Here is a 12,508-nt window from a genome sequence, read left to right as displayed (position 1 = left end):
GAGTTTGACCCCACGGTGCTCTTGGTCACTGGGGAAAAAAGGAATAAGTGGTGACTCTCTGGAGAAGTTTTCCCGTTGCTGCCATTAAGTTAGATTCCCAGCTCTTTGCTGTATGTACTCCCATTCAAAAGCTTGGCTTTCTATTTTCGAAAGCATATTTATACTCATTCTCTAGAGGAGAGAGTAGAAGAGAATCAAATAACTGCTTTAGAGGGATTTGGGCCTGGTAGTCTGTCACAGATGGACTTTGTTATCAGACATGCTTACTCTAATGTGTGAATTGAGGCTTGCTGTTAACGCCCCTTTCCCCTCCCTGCCTCTAAAGATTATTTTAGATTCTTAGGAATTTGGGAACGTGTTTTGGCCTTGTTTTAAAATTCAGATTGGGAGCTGCATGCTTTTAGTTAAGAGAATTGCCTTTAGGAAAATGTTTTGGTTTCATTTCGAAATCTAAACAGCTACAAGTTCTTGGTTAAGAAAATTGAAAAATTAGTGTGATTAGCTGCAGGATCTCCCACTCTCAACTTATGTTTCAACAATTTAGTGTCAATGATAGTCAATGATAGTAAGATAGCTAGCATTCTGAGCACAAAAATTCAGGTATTAATTCATTCGCAACAACCGAATGACTTATCCCCAACTTATTAGGAAGCTGCACAGTAAGTGCTTTGCCCCAGGTCACACAAATAGTTAAGTGTTGGTACAAGAATTAAAATTCAGACAGCTTGGACCTATGTACCCGCACTTAACCACTAGACTTTATATCCTCTATATTTGGGAATGTTTTGAGTTCTTAGTATTTCTGTGATCGTGGATGGAGTTCTTTCCTTTCTCTTTTGAGGAGGTTTGAATGACAAACTCTTTTTTAGTTTTGTTGCTGTGTCTTATTGGTGCTCTTGATGACTTTAGAAACTGCTTATGTAGTAAGTGATAGCTTTAAAAATTAAACCAGTTATAAGAATACGGGGTATGAGATGGAAATGTCTAACTGATGGAGTGAATCGAGGATTTGGTTCTGGACCTTCTTGTCTGTCTACACGTTTTACTATGTCTATTCACATAATTTAAATACCATCTATATGCTTAAGACTGCCAGACTTGTATCTCCAACCTAGTCTTCTCTAAAGTCCAGAAAACAGCTGCTTATTCAACATCAATATTTTTAGATTTGTAATAGATATCTTCATTTTAATATGGCAAACTGAACTCCTTGTTTTCCATCATAAATCTGTTTTCCCATGCTCATCCCAACCCAGTAAATGTCAATCTCATTGTTCCTTTGGTTCAGGCTAAAAAACCTTTCAGTTCTCCTTGACTCCTCTCTTAACCCAACTCTGTTTAGTCCCATCAACAAATCCCATCTACTCTTCAAAACTTATCTTACAACAAATCCCATCTACTCTTCAAAACTTATCTTAAATCTTACCCTTTCACCATCACCTGGTCCAATCTACCAGAGACATAAACTTATTTCCTCTTATGTCTCTGCTTCCGTCCTTGCTCCCCTTTTGTACAATTTCCATATTGCAGCCACAGTTATGCTACTCCTCCATTTCTGTTCAAATCTTCCAGTGGTTTTTCACTTTACCCAAAGTAAAAGCTGGAGTCCTTAACCAAAGTTCTATATTATCTGTTCCTCTGATTTAATCTCCTATTATTTTCTCCCTTACCTAATCTGCTGTGCCACTGTGGCCTCCTTGTCTGTCCTCAAACATACCAAGAACACTCCTTCCTCAGGACCTTCGCAGTGGTATTTAGACAGCCAGGAACTCTTTCTCTCAGAAATCTTCAGGGCTGCCTCCTTTGTTTTTTTTTTTAGGTGCCTGCTCATACGTTAGACTCTTTCTGATCCTTCTATTAAAATGCTAACCTCATGCGTATTTAACCAGCTTTATTATCTTTTCTTTTCCATAACACTTACCACCATGTGATGGTTGTACATATTAATTTGTCTAACTGCCCCCACCCCAGTGATATAAACTCTATGAGGGCAAGAGTTTTTCTCTTTTATACACTGTTGTATTCTCACATAGTAGAAACTCAATAAAGATTTATGGAATGATTGAACTGACTCTGTCCCTCTTTCCCAAACTCAGTTTCTAGACCGTTTCAGTATTATTCATCATGATCCATTTGTTACTAAAGCCAGAAAACTGGGAGTTATCCTATACTTTTCTTTTTCTCTTCCTCTCTGCATCCAAAACTCAGCAAGTCTAATTCACTTTGATGTGAAAATATATCTTGAATCTATCCGAGTTTTAGTTCAGACCACCATCATTTCTCTCCTGACTACGTAGTGATCTCCCTTCTTTTAGTCAGACAACTCTTCCTTACCTTGCCTCTGGTCTCCAAACAGCAGCCACAATAGAAATGTAAATAAGATAATGTCACTGTTTTGCTTAAACCTTTCATTGGCTCCCATTGCATTTAAAATAAAATCCAAGCTCCTTACTATGGCATACGAAGCCTCATGTGATTTGGCTACTGTTTGCCTCTCTAATTTAGACTCTAAGGTTGAGTTTAAAATGTGGGCTTTTGACTCATGCTCCCTTGAATTGATTCCAAGCTCTACCACTTGGTACGTGATTTATTTTATTTTATTTTTTTTGAGACAGGATCTTGCTCTGTCACCGAGGCTGGAGTGCACTGGCACAATCATGGCATGCGGCAGCCTCAGACTCCTGGGCTCAAGCAATCCTCCCATCTTAACCTTTTGAGTAGGTGGGACTACAGGCATGCTCCACCACACCTGGCTAATTTTTAAATTTTTTGTAGAGACAGGGTCTCCCTATCTTGTCCAGGCTGATCTCGAACCTGTGGGCTGAGCAGTCCTCCTGCCTCAGCCTCCCAAAGTGTTAGGATTACAGATATGAGCCACCACGCCTGGCTGCTATGTGAGTTTGAGGAAGTTTGTTTGAGGGGGGAGGGGACAGGGTCTCACCCTGTAACCCAGGCAGTGCAGTGGCAAGATCACAGCTCACTGCAGCTTTGACCTCCCTGTTCTCAAGCGATTCTCCTGTCTCAGTCTCCCTGGTATCTGGGACTACAGGCGCACATCAACACGCCTAACTAGTTTTTTTGTATTTTTTGTAAAGACAGGGTTTTGCCATGTTGCCCAGGCTGGTCTTGGACTCTGGAGCTCAAGCCATCCACCAGCCTCAGCCTCCCCAAGTGCGGGAATTACAGGTGTGAGCCACCATGCCTGGCCCTGAGCAAGTTTCTTAACTTCATGTTTATTTCATTTTGTAAATGGCAGGGTATCTAACTTCATAGGTTTCTAGTAGTGATTACATAAAGCATGCATTTAAAGTGGTTAGCATGATGCCTAGAATGTATTACGCACTCAAATAAGTTCATCCTTGTGCTCCCTCTTTTTCACTGCTCCACAGTTGTAGGCCTTCTCTCAAATCCTCAGTCACATGAAACTTCCACCAATGGGGCTTTTTCCTTGCCGTTTCTTCTGCCTGGAACACTTTTCCTCCTGATTGATACCTTGTCTTTCACCATTCAACTTAAAGGCCACTTCTTCGGTGAGGCCTTTCCTGACCTCCTTCACTAAGATAGGTTCCCACCTCCATCTTTTCCCCTATTCATTATTTGCTATCACAGTACCCTATTTCTTTCATGGTACCACACACAATGTGTAATATTATTTATTTGAGGAAGATAGCCACATCCAGAATGTAGTTTCATGAAGGCATGAATTCTGGTCTTGTTCTTTCAGATCACCAGCCCAGCAGCAGCAGGTAGCAGAACTTAGGCATGTTGTTGAAGGAATGTCAAAAGCAATACAACTTTTAAAACTCAACATAGGGGTTGGGCGCAGTGGCTCATGCCTGTAATCCCAGCACTTTGGGAGGCCGAGGCAGGCGGATCACTTGAGGCCAGGAGAGCGAGATTAGCCTGGCCAACATGATGAAACCGTATCTCTACTAAAAATGCAAAAATGAGGCCGGGGGCAGTGGCTCACGCCTGTAATCCCAGCACTTTGGGAGGCTGAGGCGGGCAGATTACAAGGTCAAGAGACCGAGACCATCCTGGCCAACATGGTGAAACCTCGTCTCTAGTCAAAATACAAAAATTAGCTGGGCGTGGTGGCACGCATGCCTGTGGTCTCAGCTACTCAGGAGGCTGAGGCAGGAGACTTGCCTGAACCCGGGAGGCGGAGGTTGCAGTGAGCCAAGATCACACCATTGCACTCCAGCCTGGCGAGAGAGCGAGACTCTGTCTCAAAAAAACAAAAACAAAAATTAGCTGGGTGTTGTGTTGCAGGCCTGTAAACCCAGCTACTCGGGAAGCTGAGGCACGAGAATTGCTTGAACCTGGGAGGCAGAGGCTGCCATGAGCTGAGATCACGCCACTGTACTTCAGCCTGGGCAACAGAGCTAGACTCCATCTCAAAAAAAAAAAAAAAGACAATCTCAAAAATTCTTGGCTAAATGTGAGCATTAGATTTTCAGAAGAGAGATATGTTGTGGTAGATTTCTTTTCCTGACCAAGCAGAAAAATATAAAGCAAATAACCATTCAAAATTTAGAATAAAAAAGAAATTTTAGGGTTCAGGGATAACAGGACTGTCACAGTGGTCTGCTTAGGTCAGCTTCACCTAACTCTCCATCTTTCTCTTTTCCAGACTATGTGCTTTAAGAAGAATAGTTTGTTAGTTTTTCTTTGTTTCCAGAATAGTGCCCAGTATCTAATAAGGTGAAAGAATCTCGAGACCCAGGACCATTGTTCTAATAGCCAGATATTTTTTAATGAGCTCTCATTGGGCACTGTTATGTGCACAAAATTTTCTGGCAATACAGAGGAGAAAGACAGGTCTCTGCTCTCAAGGATTTTTACCGACTGTCAATAGGCCTTGAACTCTGAGGGCCACAGGTTGATTGTGAGATATTCTATCTTCATAATTTTTGAAAATTTTGATTCTGTGATTGCCTTTAGACTCTTTTTCCCCTTAACTTCATGAAAAGCCCCTCACTAACTGTAGAAAACCACTTGTTAATAAAATCTGGAACCTTACAGCACAGTTTTAAAACCCTTGTTTAACCTCTGATTTTCAGTAAATTAGCCAAACCGTCTGTGCCTGCATGGATCTTGAATGTGATAATGCATATCAAAGTTCTTGTAAAGGTAAATGTATTTTTTTCAGGTTTCATTAACAGACTAGCTGAATATCTAGGTTTTAGTGGTTTAGCAGCTCAAGGAAAATTAAGTATTAAAGAAATAAATTGATCTCACATTAATTAGTTCCTTTGACTCTTAAGAAGGGAACCATGTGTCTTTACTTTTGGGGACAATATGAGTTTGGCAGATTAGTTGAGAAATACCTAAACTCATTATTTTTTTGTCGTTGTTCGATGGGAAGACTTCCCTACAACTTTGGTATCCTCACCCACATCATCCTTTCCTCATCCCCCACCTTGCCCCCAGTCCTGAACAATACCTCCTCTGCTTTCACATCTGCCTTTTCTTCCCCTGCCCCCCCCGCCACCCCACCCCCAGGGGAGACCCAGGCTTCAGTGTAAACTGAAGGCGTGTTCCCTGTCATCTGCCTTTTAAACTGTATGCTTCCTTAAGGGATGAAGAAGAAGAATGATATTAGGCAGTACCTCCAACACAGTCTTTGGATCTGTACTGCTGGACATATTAAAATTACAGGAACAGAACTGTATGGATTATGTATTTGTCTGACACCAGAAATAGCACTGCTACCCAGTAGATACCTGATAGGTTGAAGTAATCTTTCCACTCACAACAGGAAAGAAATTGGTTACCAGTTCATGTTAGGTGGGGGAATGGGACTGAGAATTAATCTAAGGATACCTGGGGAAATGTATCTGCTGGTTTAGGAGCCACTGATTTTCACATGTGGATTAAAAAGAGAGACAAATTGTATGAACATATAGATACTACTTTATAATTATGTTTTCAGGAATGATGCCACATTACCTTCACTGACAAGTTTTAGAATATATGATTATACTTTTGCCAGGAAACAGAAATGCATGCCCTAAACAAATTGAGAAATGGGATAAAGGATGAGGAAGAAATTTAAATATTATTGCAGATTTCAAGGGGAAGGCACAACCAACATCCAAAAAATATCCTTTAGATACTTCTGTTCTCCCTTCAGTATATTTTTGTTTGTCAGCCACTGTGGCCCGTAAAAATCTATTGTCTTGAGAATTCAATTCTGTATACTGAACTCAGCAGAACAAAAGCTCTACAGGTAGACAAGAGTTCATCAGCCTTACGACTGTTTCACTGTGTCCTTCAGAGGGTCTCAATTCCTGTCCCATGGAGTTTGTTTATGGTATTTCCACCAGAAAATGTGGATCTGCTAAGAAAATATAACTTATTTTCAGCTAGTATCACTGGCTACTCTTATGATTATACCTTTTAGAACTTATAAAAGGTTTTTGCATTTACTATCTCATTTCTTCCCTACCCTCACCCCATGAGTTATTAATGTATTTTAAGCAGAGGAAACTGAGTCTCAGGGGTGTTGTGGCTGACTTACTCCTGGGTTATACTAATCTTAAGTTCACATTTAGATCTGAACTATATTTTTATACTCTGCATGTGTGTGTATAACAGTATCGGAAAAGAAAAACATTCCATTTTGTTATACAGATTGCGCTGTATCTTTGGAAGGTCATATGTGCTCTAGTGAACCAAGGGCTGGGATTAACCCTGGAGAGGCAGCACCCCCCACCTGTACACCCTGCCACTTGTGTGAAGATTCCTGGAATGCCCAGGTTCTCTCCCTCTAGATATTTTCAAGGCCTGTCATAATGCAAAAGAGTTTTCATAATCTCGTCTCTTTTGAACACCAAAAGACATACTTCATGGAAAATAAAATGTGATTATATAAAAGTAATCCTGAGATTTGCCACTTCCTGTTGCTAGGGAAGGTACTGAATTGACGTGATGATGGAAATTGAGTGCTTACTTGCGCATGGCAGAGCAGTGATGGCACATCCCAGAGGGCAGTGTAAGGATTAAGAGAGAGCATGTGTTTTCTTTTAGAAGGGAGCAGAGTGCTTTAGGGATCAGGGTTGTGGTTAAGGTGTCATTGTGAGATTTCAGTGAGTGTCTTTTTAGTAAAATTGAACTACTTTCAGCCAGAGCCAAGTGAAAGTCTCCAGCCCTACTTTAATCCTTTAAAATATTTTTCAGATGAATTTGTAGTCATGTCTTAAAATGGAAAACTTAGTACACTTAATAATCAGACCCTGTTTGGGATAGATATTTGTGAACTCCTCTTGAGCTGATCTACCTCAAGTAAATTATATAATCCAGGCTCCCAGAAGGTCAGTTCCATGGGTCTCCTCCTTGGTAAAGAATAACTCTCAGTGACCATTTCCATCCCATCAAATTTTAAAAACATTTTTATTTTGGATATTTTCTTCAAACAAGATGTAGTTGAATTTGAGTATTTTGAATTTTAAATTTACATTTTAAATCTAAAATGCATGTTTTTAAAGAGAGCTAAATGTTGTAAATATGACATTTGAAATTTTGAAATGTTTAGCTCAAACATTGTAGAAATAGGAAAATTCTCTCACAATCCCACCACATAAAGGTGCCTCTATTATAGATGATGCACAGTCCTCAATATCCTATGCATATTCTCTGCCAAAGTGGGATCACACAATACATACTATTTTGCTGGTTCGTTGTTGTTGTTGATGTTGTTGTTGTTTTGTCATTTAACATACCTAAACGTCTTTTCATGCCGGTACACAATATTATTCCTTTTACAGCTGTAAACTTTTATCTTTTTAAAACCCAAAGTTAGAATCATTCAGGTCACTTCATGAAAAAAAAAAGATTATATATGACTATCCCTTTTATTTTTCTGTTTATTTACTATTTTACAAACAAAAATGAATTTTTCTATTTTTGTTTCTAAAGGCTGTCCCAGTTTAGAGTAAGCTGAATGAAGGAACTGTAGTATACATTTTCTCTGTGTGCAGAAGAAGCGAGTGTAGTTAGAACTGCCTTATCCTGGTTTCATAATCCCTCAGTCTCTTTTTGTGGTCTGATTCTATAGTTGAGTTTAATGCATGGTAAGATTAAGTGCAGAATCATTCGTTGCAGTGAAGAAATGGAAAGCTGGCATATGTGTGTGCTAAGCATCTGTACCCACTGCTTTCACATTTTTTTAATCCCTTTACCAAGGAGTATGTAAGCATTATTCCCATTTTACAAATGAGGAAACTAAACAACACTTTGTTTCTATTTTATGTTTTGAGAGACAGGTTCTCACTCTGCCATCCAGGCCAAAGTATAGTGTAGGATCATAGCTCACTGCAGCCTCTAATTCATGGGCTCAAATGATCCTCCTACCTGAGCCTCCAGAGAAGTTAGGACTGTAGCCATGCACCACTATGCCCAGCTATTTATATATATATATATATATATATATATATATATATATATATATTTTTTTTTTTTTTTTTTTTTTTTTTTTTTTTTTGTAGAGATGGAGTCTTACTATGTTGCCAGGCTGGTCTTGAACTCGATTCAAATAATATTCCTGCCTCAGGCTCCCTAAAGTGTTGAGATTACAGGTGTGAGCCACCACACCTGGCCTGTTTCTAATTTCTGTAAATGATTTTTAACCTTTATTCCTGACAGTGGGATATATTTATGCTATGCTTTCTCATATCCTAAATATTCTAACATAAAGTTAAAAAATCCTGATAAGGACCAGGTTTTTAAATCTTATTTGCCTATGAAAATCATACTCTTGTATGATTAAAGAATAAAAGCATACTCATATCTTTGCCGATAAAAATATTTTAATGTCTTTTGTGGCAATATACTATCATTTAGTCTTTCTCCCATTGAACACTAGTTTCCAGTTTCTTGCTATTAGGACTGATTTTGTGATTGGTGCCTTCAAACATGAATCTTTCCTCATCTCTGTTATTTTCTTAGGATAGATTCTTTGAAATGCAATAACCGAATCAAAAGGTCGAATATTTTTTTTTAGGCCCTCAATTGCTTATTTGAAATCTATTTTTTGCCTTTCTTAAAATACATTAGTAGTGTTTCTGAGACTTTTCATTGCCATAACCTTAGGCACAAAGTAAATGTTTAGCCCTAGGATGAGGGAAAGGACTAGACAGGCAGGTGGAGGGGTGAGAGTTATGTTATGAAAGGTGCTGTGCTTGGGACATAGTAAGTGCTCAGTAAATTGTGGGTGTTACGGTGAGGCTAGTTATTCCTAGCACAGAATTAATAGTCTGCATCCCTAATAGAGTGCATGCCCTGGTGTTGTTTTTCTGGTAATATAAGGCAGATTTATGTGAATTGTCTGACCTGTGGTTAGGTCCACTCAGTTGCCCATGATTGTAGCCGGGGAACAGAGTGGAAGTGAGACTCGCATTCATAACCACTACCTCATTAGTAGCATACTCCCGTCATTGTTTTCCCACTTGGCGTGTTGAAATGCTTGGTGCAGTTACATAGAATTTTCTCTGCCTCCATACCCTTCCTTCCCTTAACAGGATCAACTCTGGCTCACCCTCAGGTCTCAGCTTGGACAGGCAGCGCTCCTGGGTGGCTGCCTCTGAAGCCCGAGCTGGGTTGTGTGCTTTCTCTGGTGCCACTGGGGCTGTGTGCGAGCACCCTTCTCCTTGTTCCCATCAATCTGTATCACAGAGGGACTGCTGGAAAGTCAGTTTAAGGGAGTACCTTTTTTTAACAGAAAAAAAAATCATAAGTCATAAAAGTATGGAAGAATTTATGAAACAACAAAGTTCATTTGAGAGAATACTTTTTAGGGGGGAACAACCCAAATCATATAAGTATGGAATAATTTAGTGAATAATATAGAAGACTTTTTTAATTGGGAGAGAAAATACGGAAAATAGTGTTGTAAGAGCCAGGCATGGAACAGGTTCACTGGCAGATTTCTTTCAGAAAACAGCACAAAAACTAGTGTCATTAAACAACAACAACAAAAAGATGTATGCCTACATAAAAGTTCAGAAAATTCTGTAGAGCAGAAACATAAGTAACATGAAAATAGAAAAAATAATTTGTGTGAAATAAAAATGGCCAATTTCCCTGCTAAATAATCCTCAAAGGAAAAAAAAAACTATAAAAAATTGGATGAAGGACATAGGGAAATAACAAGAAAAATCAGTAGCCAGTAAAATATGAAAAGTTGTTCAAACTTTCTCATAATGAAATAAATGCAAATAAATGAATTACAAACCATCTCTCAGAGGGAGGGATGGGAGGCCAATCAGATTAGCAAAGAATAAAAAGAAATGTCCAGTGTTTGGGGAGAGTGTGAGAAAACAGGTGCTGTTGGTGGGGTTGTAAACTGTATAAAGTGTTTTAGAGGAAATTTGAGGATTGCCCACAATTTTGCTGTAAATATTCTTTGACTAAGCAGTTTATTTTATTTTATTTTATTTTATTTTATTTTATTTTATTTTATTTTATTTATTTATTTGAGACAGTCTCACTCTGTCACCCAGGCTGGAGTGCAGTGACGTAATCTCAGCTCACTGCAACCTCCGCTTCCCGGGTTCAAGCAATTCTCCTGCCTCAGCCTCCCAAGTAGCTGGGATTACAGGTGCCCGCCACCACACCTGGCTAATTTTTTGTATTTTTAGTAGAGACAGAGTTTCGCCATGTTGGCCTGGCTGGTCTCGAACTCCTGACCTCAGGTGATCCACCCGCCTTGGCCTCCCAAAGTGCTGCGATTACAGGTGTGAGCCACCGCACCGGCCCAGTTTATTTTATTTGTAGGAATTTCTCATGGAGAAACTTGAAAGCCTATAAAAGTGCACTAGGCTATTCACTTGTATCGTTACTGATCATAGTGAAAATTTGGAAGGAAGAATGGTGTTCACCTGTAGAGGTTTATATAAATAAATTATATGGTGTCCATCCAGTGAAATGCCGTGTACCTATTAGTGAATTAGATCAATATGTTCTGGCATGGAAAAAGAGACCAAGATACTTTATGTGACAGCTGCAATTTGGAAAACAATATGTGAAATATGGATCCCCCTACACACACTTTTAAAAACTATATATATAATATGTATCATTAAATTTGGTTTGAATATAGTGATACTCTATTTTTCACCTCTTGGAAGCTGTATTGAGAAAGCACAGACTTGTGGAATGAATTTTTTATCTCCTTCTGTGAGTGGTGGGATGGAGACTGCAGAGCCTGGATGAGTGACTGAGTGAGCAGTTGCAGCCCTGACCCACGCATGTGGTTTGGTATCATTTGCTCTTTTGCTTTACTGACACCACCTATTTTTGATTTCTTTCATGAAGGAGGACGTGACTCATGAAGTATTAGGTTGGTGCAAAAGTAATTGCTGTTTTTGCCATTCCTTTCAATATTTGATACACTAGGACTTATCTTTTGTTTGTTATTCCTGCTGCCATCTGTATATTTGTAAGAGTTTGTTTCTTTTGTGTTTTTAACAAAGTCCAAGAAAATCAACCAGCTCACTATTAAGCTAGACACAGTTGTCTGTCTTCCCAATTTGTTTTAGAGCAAAGTGGCATTTTTACAACAGACCTCAAAGGAGAACTTTTATGGCCTCTGAAGTCAAGATTTGATTTTCCCTGTCAGTCCTTTGCATGGTTTGAGATTGCTAACTTGTGAGTTTATTATTTTCTAATTATCAGAACATAAATCACCCTGTTGTCTCACTGATATAAAAGTAAATACTATATTAGTCTCTCATTTTTGATACAAGGAAACAGAAGCATATAACAAGTGATAGGTCCAAGAATTCACAGTCAACTGCAGGAGAATTTATAATTAGATTTCTTAGTATTCTGGAGGATGCCTTGTTTTGTGTTGCAGGTACATAGTAAATGCCTGATAGACTGACTGATGAATCTATGGGTTCATCCACATTCCACATTGGTTTCTGAGTTTTCTAATACTGGTTCATGCTGTTGCCACCTTACTGGACATTACAGTGCTATTCAGTAGAACTTTCCACAATGATGGGAATGTTCTGTATGTACACCATCCGGTAAGTCATATGTGGCTGTTGGAATGTGGATGGCAGTACAACTGAGGAACTGAACTTTTAATATAATTTTAATTAATTTAAATTTAAATAGTCACATTATAAGTATATAATTCTGTCACATATAATATTGCCTATTTGCTTTTTCTGTTTAATGTATATTGTGCATTTTCAGTGACTATTAAATTTGTTAGGGTCATGATTAGACCATTTTATTTATTCCTCTTAGAAGCAGACATCTTGGGGTATGTTTCCAACATGGGATTACAGAAATAGTATTTTAGAAAGACTTCTTTGTCCAGAATATTTTTAGGTCTGTTATGGCCTGTTGAATTGTTTTCCTTTTTGCTGGGAAATAGCCAAAAGCCTATTCTTGAACACCACATCATGTTACTGCAGCATGAGTCATTATCCCTGTTCCCTTGAAAATGGTCAGTGGGTCACGTTCACTCCACAGTCAGTTGTATGATGTTAGTCAT

At 38.9% G+C, this 12,508-nt stretch overlaps 2 protein-coding genes across 4 annotated transcripts in view; one reads left to right on the top strand and one right to left on the bottom strand.

Moving 5' to 3' along the window:
• The window catches only part of FBXO34 (F-box protein 34), a 171,629-nt gene that overhangs the window by 31,671 nt on the left and 127,450 nt on the right, over window positions 1-12,508 (bottom strand). The gene's annotated exons all lie outside the window — the stretch shown is intronic.
• ATG14 (autophagy related 14) overlaps window positions 1-12,508 on the top strand; it is a 45,440-nt gene that overhangs the window by 452 nt on the left and 32,480 nt on the right. The gene's annotated exons all lie outside the window — the stretch shown is intronic.

This window comes from Homo sapiens, chromosome 14 (genome assembly GCF_000001405.40).
Source record: "Homo sapiens chromosome 14, GRCh38.p14 Primary Assembly".
NCBI classification, from domain to species: Eukaryota; Metazoa; Chordata; class Mammalia; order Primates; family Hominidae; genus Homo; species Homo sapiens.
Note: the sequence above shows the minus strand (reverse complement) of the source record. Positions and strands in the feature narration are given on the sequence as shown.